Source organism: Homo sapiens, chromosome 3, assembly GCF_000001405.40.
Source record: "Homo sapiens chromosome 3, GRCh38.p14 Primary Assembly".
NCBI lineage: Eukaryota > Metazoa > Chordata > Mammalia > Primates > Hominidae > Homo > Homo sapiens.
Window position 1 is genome coordinate 58,787,781 of NC_000003.12, and position 18,564 is coordinate 58,806,344.

General features: G+C 38.1%; 1 protein-coding gene across 25 annotated transcripts in view; it reads right to left on the reverse strand.

Moving 5' to 3' along the window:
* Window positions 1-18,564, reverse strand: part of CFAP20DC (CFAP20 domain containing) — a 333,853-nt gene that overhangs the window by 71,608 nt on the left and 243,681 nt on the right. Inside the window, exons 16-17 of one of the 25 annotated variants that reach the window (XR_940388.3) lie at window positions 15,823-15,933; window positions 6,400-6,550 (exon numbers count right to left, since the gene is read on the reverse strand). The exons of 23 other annotated variants lie outside the window; for them this stretch is intronic. The gene's annotated coding sequence lies outside the window, so the exon portion shown is untranslated. The remainder of the gene's footprint in view (window positions 1-6,399; window positions 6,551-15,822; window positions 15,934-18,564) is intronic. One more of the 25 variants, XR_940389.3, reaches the window with a different exon arrangement.

An 18,564-nucleotide genomic window follows, 5' to 3' on the forward strand; every position in this document is an offset into this window, starting at 1 on the left:
TATACACCATGAAATACTATGCAGCCATAAAAACGGATGAGTTCATGTCCTTTGCAGGGACATGGATGAAGCCGGACACCATCATTCTCAGCAAATTAACACACAAACAGGAAACCAAACACTGCATGTTCTCACTCATAAGTGGGAGTTGAACAATGAGAACACACAGACACAGGGAGGGGAACATCACACACTGGGGCCTGTTGGGGGGTGGGGTGCTAGGGGAGGGATAGCATTAGGAGAAACACCTAATGTAGATGATGGGTTGATAGGTGCAGCAAACCACCATGGCATGTGTATACCTATACATATATAACAAACCTGCATGTTCTGCACATTTGTCCCAGAACTTAAAGTACAATTTAAAAAAAAAAAAGAGGAAGAAAACACTAAAAAACAAAGCAAAACAAAACAAAACTCCAACTCACTGCATACAGACAGATTCTGAGCACGCAGTGAGAAAGGGAACCACAGCATGGTTGATTTGGGGCCGTCTATTGGAGATGGATGTTTCTAATATAATGGGCCCCTCAGATGAACAAATTAAATTCACATTTAAACCACGGTTACCGGGGAAATCCTATTGGTGAGAATCCACAGACATTTTTGAGCTTCTAATGTGGACAGCGCTGTATGAGAAGTAATGGGGAGCAAATGGGGAATCAACGAGAAAAATTTCTTACCTTTAGTTTATCACCTCAACTTCTAGCACGACTTTCCTAAATCTCAGCAAGACGTGGCTGGTCACAAAATGGGATGCTAACATATTCCCGTGCTGCATGTCTGGATGAACACATGGCTAGGCTGGGATTGTAGCAACAGCAATGACTACCACCACCACAGTGGAAAACACTTTGACAATCCAATGTGGAACTGTATATTAGACACACATTTAGGGCACTAATCTAGTATATAAATTGCACAGTTTTTAATCTCAGCTTAAACTTCCTTTTAGCCTTGTGACCTTTGAGCCAAACTCTGTGTCTCTTGTTTCCACATCTGGAATATGGGAATAAGAGAACTGACCCTACTGGGTTGTAGCAGGGATTAAATAAACTAGTCATCCCTCAGTAGGAGTGGGGATTAGGTTTCAGTTCCCCCTCCCCACATATACCAAAATCCTCAAGTTGGCCATGCAGAACCCACATATATGAAAAATGGGTTGGAAAAAATCTGTGTCATAATTTGTAAGGGAACCCATATAGTTCAAACCCATGTTGTTCAAGGGTCAACTGTAACATAAAATGTATCAATTCCACACAGTGGCACACAGTATAAAACTCACCACACAGTAATAGCATTAGTAGTTATTATTGTTTAAAATTACAGAAAAAAGTTCAATCCCAAGCAACTTTATATAACACCTTTTAGAGAGTTATAAGGCAACTGTAGGTTAAATGCTTTGTAACTAAGTCATTAGCAAATCAAGAGCAAAAAACTTTGCAGCCTTTTCTAACTTTAACGAGAGAATAATTGCCTTAAAATTAGAATACAAAATAAAACCATCCAAATCTTTCTGTGGAATGATGGGACTTAATGGTGCAGAAAGAGTAGGTGGGATTTAATTTAGTGCTTTAATTTAGCTCTCTGGGCTTTTGTAAAGAATAACTACAGGGTATCATTTTCATTATTGTGTCAGATTATCAGATACCTTATTTATGTACTGATTTCCATTTTCTTTTCAAAGTTTGGTTATACCTTTCTGTTCAGAAGTCAAATAAAACAATGATATGCTAAAAAGGCTCTGTGAGGTGAATGACAATTCAATTTCCCCCAGTGTTGGCTGGTTGCATGAGAAAATAAGGAACTGGAGCAAGTTGACAGGATCTTTAGTTGACTAGATTTATTTCCCAGCATTTTCAGGGTGTGTTAATTGTAACACTTCAGTTAATGAAAAATATTGTGATTAAACACTGATATGGGTGATAAATGGATTTTTGAACAGATGATGGTAAAATGCTATTTTAAAAACATTGGGAGGAAATAATAAAAACTCTTTTGTTGATTGGACCATTATTGTGAGTAAATTAGGCTTCCCAGGAAGGAAATAATTTACTCAAATCACCAGGCTACCATCATCATAATTATTCATGGTGTTACTGAGCTGCTATTCCACTTAAATATAGTCTCATTCTACAGAAAGCTTACATAAATTATAAAAAAGGTAGAAAGATACAGAAATGTTAAAATATTAGAAAAAGCAAACTATTTTAGACTAAGAATTATACCAATTATCCTTATTAACAATTATACTAATTATTCTTATTAATATTGATGTGTAATGTAAACAGAGAAAAATGCACAAATCATAGCTGTATGGCTCAATGAATGATCCCACAGTGAGCCATAATCCCCACCTGGGTCAAGAGGTAAAAGCGTCCCTTCCTCCTTCTTCTAATTATTACACTCTCTTCTCCCTACAAGTGAGCCTGGTGACTTCTAATACCCATGGCTCAGTTTGTCTGTTTTTGAATTCCATATGAATGGAATCATACAATATGTATTTATTCTCAGTTGTATATCTTTGATATGGACCGGAGACAGGGAAATAATGGGTAGAAGAGGGTGGTTCCCTGGCAAAGGCCCCACTCTCAAGCCTGGAAACCTGTGGCCCTAAATGGGAACAGGCATTCCTGTTTTCTCGCCCAAAAGTTGCCATTTGGCCTGCCATGTCCCCTATCATGTACCCATATAAACCTCAAACCCCAGGTTCCATGAGCAGATGAACAGAAGAGCAGAAGAGCAGCAGAGAAGGAGAGGAGTAGTGGTGAAAAGGACATGTGGATCCATGGAGGCTACTTAGAAGGCTATAGCAATAGTCCAGGAGAAAGATGGTGATTTTTTAGGTGACCAAAAGCCAAATGTAAGACATTAGTGGGATATGGGAACTAAAACTATGAATGTGATTTAAGCAATGTACTATACTAGTCAATGGTGTAACTGTAGTCTGAACTCTTTGGATTACATCTAGATTATTGTGTTCATTTTAGAGAATTCCAATTTGATAAATTAAAAGGTATCCAAAGGACGGTGATTAGGACTATGCCAGGACCAGGAATGGCAAAATGGAGTTGGGACTGGAGTGAGAAAATGTGAGACTAGAGGAGAAAACAGAGCAACCCAGAAGTGATATTAAAAAATTCAAGAGGTATTTTATGAAAAGTGATGGTTCTACTTATTGTTCTGGAAACAGAACTAGGATCAATGGGAAGAAGCTATAGAGAAGCCTACATCAGCTCAGTATAAGGAAGATTTCCCATGGTTGGAGTTGCCCAATAATGGAATGGGCTGTCTTCTGCTGCACTGAGCCTGCTTCCCTGGCAGAGATGTGTAAAGTTTGAAGAGATGCTGGGTTAAATCATCTCCCTGATCTCATCAAACCCTTTAAGATTCTCTGATTCTGTTAAAGTATGATTTTTTTTGAAAAATTATTCCTAATATTACTATTAATATCCCTACCAATACTATCATCACTTTCTACCATTTAATAAAAATATATATGCCAGGCCCTATGCAAAACATGTTATGAGTATTATTTCATTTAATCTTTGCAATAACACTTTATGGTGGGTAGTAAAATACAATTCCTATTTTTAGATAACTTAATTGGGGCTTGGAGAGGTTAACTAATGTCATAAGGATATAAACCCAACCTTTTGATTCTAGAGACAGTTTTTTAAACTAGTGCATTATACCACCTCATGAAACCCCTTATTCTACTATATGCCAATTAATCTCATACTGAGTGAATAGTTTAACCAATTTTTAACATTCAAATATGAAAATATATGAAATGCTGTATTTCCAATGACAATGTATATTCAATGTCACAGTTAGCAACTGTGTCAGTCAGAATAAGGGTATGTTATGCTTGATAACAAAAAACCCTCAAATCTCAGTGACTTAAAAACAACAAATGTTAATTTCTTGCTCATGTTAAGTTTTTATAACAGATCATTATAGGGACTCTGTTTGTCACAGTCATTAAGTGACTGGGTTGACTGAACCACCATCATCTTGAATGTTTCTGGTCACAGTGTCAGAGGAAAAGATAATCTGGAAGGTTTCACACCTACAATGTAAATGTTCTTGCCAAGAAATAACGTAGGCCCTTATGCTCCTAATTAGTTGGCTAGAATTAGTTGGGTTAGTTGGCTCCACCCCCAAACAAGGAAACCTAGAAGTGCAATACAACCATGTACTTGGAATCTGGAGAGCTGGGAATATTTGGGGAACAGTGTCAGTAACTACTATAGACAATAAATCTTCAAGGATGTCAGAAAACATGCAAACAACTTTTGCTACATATATTTCAGAATTTCTACCAAGAATATAGACTATTCTCATTGTTTATTTACCCCAAGTTGAGAGAACGTTAGAAGAGAGGAAATCTAGAAAACATGCTGAATTCTGGTAAAGTTCTTCACTGTATATGTAAAATATAACTTGAATCATAATCATGTCTGGGATTCAAGCCCTGGACATGCCAAAGTAGTATATTTATTTGCGTTTGGGCTAGATACAAATGTTTAGATGGTAAATGCAGTATTTTACTCCGAGTTTCATTGTACCTACTTAAGTAAAGCCATTATTGGTGAATTGGGAGAAGAGAATACTAAACAACCCAAGCCTTACATTAGGTTTTGAATATTAAGATATTAGAATAAAAACTATTTCAATGCTTCATAGGAATTTTATTCTGAAAATCCTTGGCAAGGCAAGTCCATCACTGTCAAATTAACTACAAGTGTGCTATTAAAATCTCTATTTTACTTATATAAAAATATAAACCTCTTAAAAACTTTTACTTTCTGATAAATATTTGTAATAATACAAAATAAAATAAGTAATTCATCTTATTTCTTGCAGAGACTCTCAGAGTACTCAATTGAAATTTGAACTACTTTTATCTAGTATCTGTGACAAAATATAGTTGTTTTATTTATAAATACTCCATGAGTTCAACTACAAAACTAAAAACTGACAATGAAAATATAAAGACAAATCAGTGGCATCTTTGAAGCATTTCACTGGAAATGGCTGTTAGAAGATAAATTCTTGTTGTAAGTGATTTAAATGCTTGAAGAAAAAGTACATGTGGTGTTGGTATGCTAAAAATGTAATTAAAATGTATATTACAAATGCTAGTTTAGAGAAGAACTGATTTTAAAAGCCAATGATGTTTCCTGTAAGGGCACTGCTGTGGTATTTTATAATAGATGGTACCTTTTTCTAATTTGAAAGCTACATATTTTAATAGAGAATGGCCCAAAATGTTTTTAAGGTCAAACTGGAAATATGTTGATGATTTACAAAAATGTAAGCCAAGTGCTTTATTATATTATACTACCAGAGTGTTATTGTAGTTTAAAAATATCATTAAATCAGCACAAACCTGCACTTATCATTTCCTACACATTTTTCACACCAAGCTGCCTTCTGACTATGAGTAATCTGTTAATCTACTCTTCGCCTCACAATCCGTCAAAGTGACAGATTCATTCCTTTCCTAATACATAATATCTTCATTTACTGTATGCCTTGCTGCAACTTTCTTTTTTGCTAGCACTGAAATTTAGAAATTCACAAGCAAATTTAGAGAATGTCACATGGCTGGTTGTTTTTGTTTGCTTCCATTTCTTCTGTTATTCCAGCAAAAGAAACTAAAATTTTTCTGGACTTTTAATGTGAATTAGTAGTATTTCCAAAATGAAGGCAGTTTCAGGTTTCAATAGGAGTGTTGTTGAAAAGGTTGGAAGAGGGCAGATGGCAAAAAAAACAAAGTGCATCCTTCACCAAGTTAAAACACTGATCATAATGTAATTTTCTTTCAATGTTAGTGGCCAATGTATAGATTCTCACCCCCTACCCTCAACCCTTACTAAGGTGTCAAGGAAAAGATATTCTTTTGGTAGTTTAGAGATGAGCTGCCCCTCAACAAAAAATGTAGTTTCATTACCATAAATGTCACTGTTTAATTGAAAGCAATACTGTGATTTTACTTAAGCTGAGACTTTCATTTTATCGTAGTATTGAGATCAGACCAGGCCAGATCTCAGGTTTCTTGTTCACTGCTATTTTGATAATACAAATGGTTCCACTGCTTTAAAATTGTTCACTACTAATTCAACAGAAAATATTTTACTCTTCTTTTCTTGCAACAGATTACAGTTGCTTTTTAGTTTATTAGTTCTGCAAATAAAGAGAATCAAAGACTGAAAAATATGAGAGTATGTACAATTCTAACTCACTTACTTTCATCATAAATAAGCGATAACAAAGTACATTATCTACAAATCGCCATTTGGTCTCGCTTGTTACTGAGCCAGTGTCCACACAGTAATTCAAAGGTCACTACTGTTGTTAGCCTCAAAAGTCAAAAGCAAATAAGTTGTTTACCTCAAAATGTGGGAAGCTGCCTTCTAACCAGTCTTGTTTCAGAATATAGTTTTTTTTTCCCATGCCTACACCAAACATCCAACAGCATTTTCTTGTCCTGAGCACCAAATTGCATCTGATTTGTCTTAATGGATGGCAAAGGACCTAAAGGCTTTTAAAAATCAATGGACAAGAAAGAGTCAACAGAACAATAATGATAGTGTTAATTCAGTCAAATACACTAAAAGATGTTTGCCTTTTTGCCTTCAAGTCATCTTAAACAGCCTGGACTGTTGACTTCTATGGTATTTATTATACTGAGCGGGTTTTTATATGGTAATGAACAGCATAATATGAAGCTGTGAATGCTGGTAAACAATGCATTGCTAGAGTGAAAAATTATGTGTTTTAACTTTAATCAATTTCAAAATGTAATGTTTTTCATTAACAACAGAAACAAAAAAATTACAGGGAAGAAGTAACCAACTGGCAACAAAAGCAGAGTCTGTGAGTGGACACATTTCTGGAAAAGCAGTGATTTCTCCTGAGCCAGGCTCAGTAGATGCTCCAACTCTCTTTGGCACTGTTCTGAAGATGCCCACACACTGCCTAATGACATGCAGTGTGGACCTGGTTCTGCTGGAAGGCCACAAGCTCATTAAAGTCACATAGTAGGTACTTCAAAAATACTCATCGAGCGTTGCTGAAAGTATGAGCTACAATACTCTGTGAATCATTTTATGCTGTAGGGGTTCCCTGTTTAAATGACAGGGAAGCTATCCTGTATTAGATTACAAAATGAATAATGAGATCATGAGTCTACGGATGTGACTGGCTGTAGCCATTTAACAATAATTACGGTCTTCCATTTTTTAGGTTAATGTTATTCTCCTAAACCTCAACTTGCATTCCCTCCCCACCTCCAGACAGAATGGAGGTGATTGTTATAAACTAGAATTAGTACTTCTATTTTTTTAAAGGTTCTCATTACTCTTGAGGGGGAAGCTGAATCTTTTAATTAAAAGCTGAAACTATAAAACATTAGAATGGTAAATAATTGCTTTGGTAATTACCTTCTTTAACTGGATTGTGGGCCAAAGGTAATCTGAGTTCAGCATCTGGATGGATAACAATTGCTGGGGAGGCTTCAGTAATCTCAGGAGCCCCGCTCTCCACTGGTTAAAGATGTCAAGATTCTGCCAGGTGCCGTGGCTCACGCCTGTAACCCAGCCCTTTGGGAGGCCAAGGTGGAGGGACGGTTGCTTGAGCCCAGGAGTACGAGACCAGCTTGGGCAACAGGGCAAGACCCCATTTCTACAAAAAAATCAGCTTGGCTTGTGCCTGTGGTCTCGGCTACATGGGAAGCTGGAGTGGGAGAGTTACCTGAGCCCGGGAGGCCGAGGCTGCAATGAGCCATGATTGTGCCACTGCACTTCAGCCTGGGTGACAGACTGAGATCCTGTCTTCAAAAAGGAAAACATAGAAAAAGCAAAAGTAATAGCGAAAGCCAAGATTCTTCAGGTATCTGTCTTTTCAGACACAGAAGCCTTTGGGAGGTGAGGGGAGAAGATGTGATCTATTGTTCTGAAACTCCTAGGGGAATGGGTTTCATAAGTTTATAATTTTCGAAAACATGACAATAACTGAAAATTAATTAGTATTTCCCAGTCTTAATGCCTTTAGACTCTCACAGAGTACAAAGGGAAAACTAGGAAACTCAGGTGGAAGTCCCAGTGGCCCAAAAGAGACCTGGTCAGAGAGGAGGCAGGTGTCTCAACTAAGGAAACTGGAGGGTGGGGTTAGCTGATGCTCAGGCAGGCGGGTCCAGACACGAACATGGAGAGAGTGAAGACAAATAAATCTTGGGCAGGTGGGCAGGGGTGGGGACCAAGACATCTGTTGTGATGGCTAGTTGGTGCCCGGGTCAGTGTAACTGGACCAGGGATACAATTTGAGCAAACTCACTTAGGTAGAAGAAATAATCAAAACCAGGACTGAAAGTGGGCTTGGCAGGTCAACAAGTACCAAGAGCAGAGGAGGGAGGAGGAGTGATGGGTCAGGGGACCACCAGCTGCCCAGCACTGTCCACTCACATTGTACTGCTGGTGAATTGCTGGGTCTCCTGGAACCCATGGGAATAGTGCCCCCTGGAGTTGTGCAAGGTGTGGTCCAGGGTTAAGAGTGGTCAGAGGTGAAAAGCAGGATGATTCTCGAGGGATTCAGTTTGCTACTAGGGGTGCCCTTAACTGAGGCTTTCTCTGGGGCAGGCAGGGTTCAAGAGGTTAGAAAAGTCATTCTGGGGCTTTGCCTCTGCTGTGGATCGGGGAGGAAAGAGGCCCAGCTGGAGGCTTTTTGTATCAAGTGCTTTAAACGTTTATTTTAAAGGTAGAGCAGTTGACTAAGGACCTCTCCAGGAACAGAAGGGGTGGGGAGTCAGTTAAATTTGACAGTGCACCAGCACCACAGCTTCAGGTTCTCTCTCTCTAGCTCTTGAGACACACACATACACACACACAGGCATGCCTTGTTTTATTGTGTTTTGCTATATTGTTCTTCACAGATGCTGAATTCTCACAAATTGAAGGTTTATGGCACCCTGTGTTGAGCGAGTTTATCAGTGTCATTTATCCAACAGCATGGGCTCACTTTGTGTCTCTGTGCCACATTCTGGTAATTCTCTAAATATTTCAAATTTTTTCATTACTGTTCTATCTGTTACGGTGATACGTGACAGTGATCTTTGATGTTACTATCAAATTGTTTTGGGACACCAGGAACCATGCCCATATAAGATGGCAAATTTAGTAAATGCGGTTTGTATTCTGACTAATTCCACTTGATCAACCATTCATCCCATCTCTCTCTCCCTCCTTGGGCCTACCTATTCCCTGAGGCACAGCAATATTGAAATTAGGCCGATTATTGATAATAACCCTACAGTGGACCCTGAGTGTTCACGTGAAAGGAAGAGTCACGTGTCTCTCACTTTCAATCAAAAGCTAGAAATGGTTAAGCTTAGTGAGGAAAGCATGCCTAAAGCCAACACAGGCTGAAAGCTAGGCCTCTTGCACCAAAAGCTAAGATGGGAATGCAAAGGAAAAGTTCTCGAAGGAAATTCGAAGTACTTACTCCAGAGAACACACAAATGGTAAGAAAGTGAAACAGCTTTAATTGGTGATATGGAGAAAGTTTGAGTGGTCTGGATGGAACATCAAACCAGCCACAACATTCCCTTAAGCCAAAGCCTAATCCAGAACAAGGCCCTAACTCTCTTCAATTCTTTGAAGATTGAGAGAGGTAAGGAAGCTGGAGAATAAAAGTTTTGAGTTAGCAGAGGTTGATTCCTGGGGTTTAAGGAAAGAAGCCATCTCGGTAACATAAAAATGCAAGCTGAAGCAACAAGTACTGATGTAGAAGCTGCAGCAAGTTATCCAGGAGATCTAGCTACAATCATTGATGAAGGTGACTACATTAAATAATAGGTTTTCAATGTAGACAAAACAGTCTTCTATTGGAAGAAGATGACATCTAGGACTTCCATTACTAGAGGAGAAGTCAATGTCTGGCTTCAAAGCTTCAAAGCACAGGATGACTCTGTTGTTGGGGGCTAATGCAGCTGGTGACTTTAAGTTGAAGCCAGTGGTCATTGACTATTCCAGAAATCCTAGGGTTCTTAAGAGTGATGCTATTAATAAATCCTACTCTGCCTGTGTTGTATAAAAGGACCAACAAAGCCTGGATGAAGGCACATCTGCTTATAGCACAGTATACTGAATATCTTGAGCCTACTACTGAGATCTACTGCTCAGAAAAAAAGAGACTCCTTTCAAAAGATTACTGGTCATTGGCAATGCACCTGGTCACCCATGAGCTCCAATGAAGATGTACAAGGAGATGAATATTGTTTTCATGCCAGCTAACACGACATCTATTCTGCAGCTCATGGATCAAGGAGTAATTTAAGCTTTCAAGTCTTCTTAAGAAATACATTTTGTAAGGCTATGGCTGCCATAGATAGTGATTCCTCTGATAAATCTGGGCAAAGTAAATTGAAAACTTTCTGGAAAGAATTCACCATTCCAGATGCCACTAAAAACATGCAGCATTCATGGGAGGAGGTCAAAATATCAACATGACCAGAAGTTTGGGAGAAATCAGTTCCAACCATCATGGATGACTTTCAGTGGCAGACAGAACTACAGATGTGGTGGAAATAGCAAGAGAACTAGAGTTAGAAATAAAGCTCGAAGATGTGGCTGAATTGCTGTAATCTCATGATCAAACCTGAATAGATGAGGAACTGCTTCTTATGGTAAGCAAAGAAAGTGGTTTCTTGAAATGAATCAACTCCTGGTGAAGATGATGTAAACACTAGTTGTAATGACAACAAAGTATTTGAAATATTACATACACTGAGTTGATAAAGCAGCAGCATGGTTGGGCAAGATTAACTCCAATTTTGAAAGAAGTTCTACTGTGGGTAAAATGCCATCAAACAGCATTGCATGCCACAGAGGAGTCTTTCACGAAAGGAAGAGTCCAGTGATGTGGCAAACTTCATTGTTGTCTTATTTTAAGAAACTGCCAGAGCCACCCCAACCTTCAGCAACAACCAGTCTGATCATTCAGCAGCCATCAACATCCAGACAAGACCCTCCACCAGCAAAAAGATTATGACTTATTGAAGGCTCAGTGATTGTTAGCAGTTTTTTAGCAATAAAGTATTTTCAAATTAAGGCATGTATATTGTTCTTTTTAGGCATAATGCTATTGTACACCTAACAGACTAAAGAATAGTAACATAACTTTTACATGCACTGGGAAGCTGAAAATTCTTGTGATTTTTGCTTTACTGTGGTGGTCTGAAACTCAACCTACAATATCTCTGAGGTACGCTTGTATGTATATATATAATGTGTATATATGTATGTGTATGCATATAAATAATGGTTTTTTTTTTCTATTTGCTTACCCAGATTCTATTAGCCTGGTGAGAACTGAGTACACCTTCTGCAGCAGTGGCAACCCAACCAGATTTCTAGCAAGTGGTACTCTGACTCCATAAAATACGTGTGAATAGGCCCATACAAATAAGCAACTGCCAGTAAGAATACAGGGCGAACACACTAATTCAATTTTAGAAAACTGTCTCTATTTAAAGGTGTAAAATGATATCAGATACTTTATATTCTGGATATCTTTTAAGGGATCTTTAAAACAAACTCACAAAAAAGGTTTCGTTTATTATAAATGGGAACAGGGCCAGGTACTAGAGACTCTTAAGGTAGAGAAGTATACAGGTGCTCATGGGCTCCAGCTAGTGGAATACACAGTGACGTAGCTAGTGTAGAGAGATGAGGGAAGTTCATTTTTAAGTGGTGAGATTCACTGAATTCAACACCTATTTTTTATGTGTCTCTTATGTGCCTATTTTTTATGTGTCTCCTATGTGCTTGGCAAGTATATCCCTTGAAACTAGGGAGACACTGAACAAGTGAGATAAGGTTTTCACATGCATGCAGTTTACATTCCAGCATTCGAGAAGGAGCAGTGTGTGTGTGTCTGTGTGTGTGTCTGTGTGTGTGTGTGTGTGTGTGTGTGTGTGTGTGTAGAAAACAGACAAACAAGGAAACATCAGTTAGTGGAATAATGTGATGAAAACAAAAAAGATAATGTGCTAAAGGTGACTGAGGGCTATTTTAGGGTGGACACTAAGAAAGGGCCTCCTGAGGAGAGGATGTTTATTTACGTGGAGACTCTACTGACAGGGAGAGGCAGCTGGGAAGCAACCTTGGTTAAGAGAACTCCATCCAGGCAGCACTCCTAAGTGGGGACCAAGCCTGGAGTATCAGAGGGAAAGAGAAGGAACCAGTAGAGATCGAGCAAGGTGCTCAGTGGTGTGAAACACCATCTGAGAGGTGGGCTTCCAGGGCCCCAAAAGCCAGGGTAAGCGTAATTTGGTCCTAAGGGCAATGGGAAACCACTGGGAAGTTTTACAAGGGGCAATGCCTGCATCTGATTGAGGCCTGTATACCACTTGGTTGCTAAGCAGAGAAAAGACTACAGAGGCCAGAGAAGCAGAGAAGGCAGGTTTGGAGGTTTACAGTATTTGCCCAGGTGAGAGGTGATGGCAACCTGCACTCAGACTATAGCAGTGAAAACAGAGAAAAGAGGCTGGATTTGGCATATACTATCTTTGAAGGGAACACTTGCTGAGTCTGGACATTCAGGTGTATCAGAGAGACAGAACAGGGATCACCCTTGGTTTCTGGCTTAAGCAAAGGTGGAGAGGGGTATTGATGGCATTTTCTGAGATGGAGAAGAGTGAAGAAAGAATAGATTTGCAGAAGAAAATCAAGTTACCTTTTCAATGGCTGGATTTTAGGCATGATGGCAGCTACATAGATCAGTTTGGAATTCAGGGAGGGTCAGGACTGGAGATATAAATTTGAGAGTTGTTGGAATATAGGAATATTAGAAACTATTATTAATTATTATGTCTTAAAGACTAGGGCTATTCCAAATGTTACCAGTGCCTATGGATCTTTGCATCAGCAGGGAGTGGTACATGCATGAAAATCAGATTTAAACTCTGTCCAAACCAGGGCCTCTCATCAAAACACAATTTTATCTGGTTATGAATGAAACAATATCACTGTCCTCCTATTTCCAGGAAAGGAAAGGGCAATTCTTGCAGAGACACAAGAAAAAAAATCTGAAGTTTAACTGGTTAACATTTAGGATGAAGATTTTCATTTTCCATGGTGTCCAGGTGTATACCTACTCACTTGCTCATGCCCTCCCTCAACTCAAATACTGAAAAAACTCCTGCCCTTGACAGGCGTGTGTTGAATAACACTGGGGTGGGGTGGGGTGGGGGTGGGGAGTAAGTGAGAGAGAGAGAGAGAGAGAGAGAAAGTGAGAGAGAGTAAGTTCCTGCCTTAGAGGAACTTGGTGAACAGCCAGACAGGTCATCAGTAAATGAGCTTTCAGCCAGACCCGTGGGTTCTAAATGTGGAGCATCAGGGCCCTCAAAAGAGCAGGTGTGAAATCTGTGGGAATGAGATTATGAAAGAAGAGGTAATGAATCTTTTCCTAGTTGAAGCCAACAAGAGAAATGATAAAAACAACAACTGATGCCTTTGGTTTCATAATCAAATCATTACGATTTAGTGCAAAAATCTGGATAACAGGAAACAGTAATAACACTATGTTTTGAGAAACAAAATGTTTGCTTAGTTAATAAGGAAATCCTCTGTCATGTCTTGGTTTGAAGGAGGACTATTTGTTAAAAATTCAACTTACTTGTTTTAAAATGAGCGAAACTTAATCATTTGAAGAGGAACATTAAAGTTCTGTACTTAATTTTATTAATTTATACATTTTCTCTCTTTTGTGATGGGAAACTAAAAAGCTTAATCAATAGAAGAGATGCCCATCAGGTTGCATCGTGACAACTGGAGAGGAAAAAAAAAAACAAAACGATACCACCGTGGTCAGTCTGGAGGAGCCACACGGGTTACAACGACAGGCCAGATTGCCTTGGCCAGGCCAGCTGAGCCAGCGGGAACTGAGGTCAGTGGTTATTAATCATTTGTCAAAGACTGCAGGGCTTTATCAGATAATTATGGTTATAAGTGTGTTTATCACACAAACATGTGGCAAGGCTGCAAAGGATTCAGGCCCTAACACAATCTGCAATGACATTTTTAAAAACTACAGATAAGTGACAAATCATTGAGCAAACACTTTAGAAAATCATGCCATTCTTGCTGTTTGGGTATTCTGAATTATTTTGTATATTATATATTTCCATGAACATTTAGAACCTTGCAAAGCCTTTGACTACATTCCTTCCTCCCTCCCCCTAATTTTCCAATGAGTTGTAAAAATAGCAAGTATAATCATCATTTGAAACGAAAGACTGGTTATTGACTCCATCCCTATGAACAGACAACCAGAAGGTAATCACAGCTTATTTCATAAAACTCATTCCTGAGCAGGAATATCTTACGTTTTTCTGAAGAATCTACACAAGCATCTAAATAAATGTGCCTAAGGGACAGCTCTAAACCCCACAAACCAATAGATGGCATTTTAAAATAAATGACTTGAAGCTGCAAATGGCATCCATTTTGCTCTGCTTGGCAGCATGCAAGTGTACATGTTAGGAAACGTTTCTCAACATGAATGAACTGTGAAATTGTTTCCTCCTACCCCACACTTCTCTACATTATGTGAGATTATGTTAGCCATTTCTGCACCTTGTCATAGAGGCTGTCAGTGCCCTAAGAGGCAATGTTTGGTGGACGCTGGAGGCAAGGGCCCCAGCATCTGTGATGCTGTTTAAATATCAGTTAGTGTGTTAGGAAAAAATAATGGAAAATACCACCCCATGCCTAACAGCGTAAGGGGAAATGGCTTTGTTGCAAATCTAGACACGCAAGGGAATATGATTAAGTGAACCATATATATTTCAATTCCTAGATTGTAAACTTCTGAGAAAAATGATTACTGTTGCATCCCACCTTGATCCAATGTCAAACACTGCCCTGTGAGTGAAAGTGAATGACTTTACTGTGAGAAAAACAATATATGAATATATGCAGCACTTTAGCTATTTTCATCCTAGAGCTAACTCTTTAAAACCCAAATTTGCCTGCTTATGGATTGCATATTGTCTTTAATTTTAATCCTGCACACAAAAAATTAAGAAGATAGTTATGTTGCAGAAATAAAAGTCTTTCCAGAATAAAATGTGCATGAGTGATCACTCCACTGCACTCCAGTCCAGGTGACAGAGTGAGACTGTCTCCAAAAAAAAAAAGAAAAAAAATGTGCATGAAAGACTGGGGATATTGGTTATTCTGTTACATTAATAAAGCTATTTGAAAGGTGACTCTCTAAACATGTATACATGTGGGCACTAGTTTATGTAATTTAAAAACCTTAGGATCTTCGGTCTCTGGAATAGTTGCAGATGTCTCACTGAGGCTCATGTGGCCACCACACTTTCCAGAGGTCACCATCACGCTTTCCTCTCTGTGGAAGTGCTTGTCCACACCACCCCGTCTCTGCCATATTGGCATTACTCTAATCACAGCCACACTTCATTCAGGAAACCAAGAGCCTACCTGCTTTTTATGTATTGTTCAGAGCCTCCATACCAGAATTTTCAATCACGGGTTCAAGTTAGATGTTCATTTATCCAACAGGGTGGACTTCAGAGAATTACCTTCTCATTTCTTATATTTTTTCATATTAATTATCAATATCCCTTAAATTTAAAGTTCTATATTTTAGGGTCTAAAGCATTGGGATACTAATTGTAAGAAATACAATAAATACAGATCTTAAGAAGAATCAGAACTTTCAATTTTAAGTTAAATTATATGCGTTACATGATTCAATTTATTCCATTTTTATATGATGATATATACTGACCTCATAATTTTATCATCTTCTGTATTTATGGCCCAATAATGCCTTCCTGCCAATTCTCCTAAGCTGTTGAATTTATGAGCCAAGAGCCAAGTCACATCATCTGCAGGTTTTCTGAACAGTTATATGATAATTTTTTAGGAAACTGGTAGATAACTTGCTGGTAAATGGGGTTGGTGGTATTTAATTTTTGGCTTTAGAATTTGTTCTTTTTATTTCATTATGCAGAAGTGTAAATTAATTTTTCTTAAATAAATAAACATTTAATTGGTTGCATAAGATAATGCTGTCTAACTGGTGAATTATTTCATATTCTATCTTGACAGTATATCTTTGGAAATCAATTTGTAAAAGAGATATTTAAAGTTGCATATTACCACATCTAGATATTCATTCATTCAATTATCTAGCCAATATTTATGAAGTATGCTTTCTATATAGGACAATGAAATAAAAGTAGTGTGATCCTTCAATGGCGAGACTGGTTTATGAAGTAAAGGCTATAATGAGTCTTGTAAAAGTCACAGAATCATAAAGTTGGAATTGGCCTCAGAGAGCATGCAACTCAACTCCTTTCTTTTACACATGAGGGTATTCATATTATTAAAAAGGTCTGGAGAGGTCAGAGGCTTGTCTGAGATTATATACTATGTTATAGAATTAGGATGAGAATTAGGTCCCCTTTCTCCTTTTATTGAAACAAATGGCTCCACTGTCTAACATATCTTACTATCACTCTCATTTGTTCAGACTACAAATTAGTTCTTTTTTTTTTTTTTTTGAGACAGAGTCTCACTCTGTCGCCCAGGCTGGAGTGCAGTTGTGTGATCTCGGCCCACTGTAACCTCTGCTTCCTGGGTTCAAGAGATTCTTGTGCCTCAGCCTCCTGAGTAGCTGGGATTATAGGCATATGCCACCACACCCTGCTAATTTTTGTATTTTTATTAGAGATGTGGTTTCACCATGTTGGCTAGTCTTGTCTCAAACTCCTGATTTCAGGTGATCCATCTGCCTTAGTCTCCCAAAGTGCTGGGATTATAGGCATGAGCCACCATGCCTGGCCCAAATTCTTAACTTGTTATAATTTGGACCACAGTTGGATTTCCAGTTACCTTGAAAGCTTACTCACATATAGAAAAAATAATTTGTTAGGCAAATCTAGATGAGCTGCAAGATTCTTACTGACGTGTTCACCTATTGAGAGATAGCTAATTCTAAGAATGTTAAAATACCTTCTTATATATATTGAAATTCTAACCTCAGTTTTAAACTCTTTAGTGTATCTATTTGTGATAGTGACAATTCACCCTACTAGGTAACATGAACAAATAACCAGAGCAGGTGTACAGAATAGAAACATTTAGAAGAGATTACTAGTAAAGAACATTTACTCATCTGTGTCATGAATATTCTGGGTCCCAATAAAAGTCCTGTAAACCACTTACGTGGTTTCCTGGAAGCCATGTTCATTTTTCATGGCTTGGTTCATTGTTTATTGCTGACTGGACCAGAATGGGCACTTGGCTCAAGCTACACTAATCACATTCTCTTTCTTGAAAAAGGAAGTTCAGACGTAGTCTGTTAGCCTCTACATGTATATTGAACTGTGATATGTAAACTCAAGAGCTGTCAAATGGCCATATGTGGACTATGGAGCAGAGAAAGCTGGTCCTTAGAGAGAAGAATGGAGCAGATGGGAGGAAGCAAGCAGAGATGGAGTGAAGAGACTGCCTGGCTGCCTCTTGCCTTTCTAGTTCCTAGTTTCAGGCCCCTCCTGAGGCCTGGCGGCCTTTGGGTTCTAGAATACAGCCCCGTATCTTACTTAACAACCACCTGCCAAACCGCCTTTCTTACTCTTTCTCCCTATCTCTTTCTGTCTTTTAATACTAGCTAAGCTGTTTTGTAGTGTGTAACCAAAGAGTCTTAATTCAGACACCATGCAATAGTTAACACACCCTCCATAGGACAGCCCACAGTACAGGTCAGATGCGTTTGGATAATGAGGTGCATCACAGTAACTAAGACTTTGTAGGTAGGCTCACGATATATGGACTTTTCAATAATTTCCTAATATATGATAAATACTGATAAGGTAATACTAATTTATATGGATAAACTAGCTTATATACTTATTTATCAGAAAGTTGTAGAATAATACAGCATGTATTTCAAAACTCAAATTCAGATCCACTTGTTCCTAATGAACCAAAAATAATGAGGTTTTTCCTTAGTGACAAATGACTCATACACCAATGACATTTTTGAAATAAAATAATTTTGAGATTATAAACTTTTAAAGTTATGAAAAAAGAGACTGGTCATTTGAACTTTTATAAGCTATCTTGATAAATTTAAGGGCACCAGATGATATAAAAAAGATTTATGCCTAAAATTTACCAAACATCAGACACCTATTAAAATAAAATAGTTATGCAAATAAAGTAATGAATAAATTAACACTTAGTGAGAACTTGCCATGTGCCAAGAACTGTTCTAAGAATTTTTCATTTGAATCTTTCCAAAATACTATGAAGTAATTCTTATGCCTGAATTACATGGAGTCAAATGACTTACCCAAAATTCCACAGCTAGTAAAAGGTAGATATTTAAACCTAGGTAGACTGTTACCACTATTCTAAAGTCCAAAGAAGACAAGTAGATGAACTAGGACTTTGAAAGAACATAAGTTTGGAAGCTAGAAGTTTTGGAAAACAATTTCAGAAAACCAAGAAAAATGTACAATCT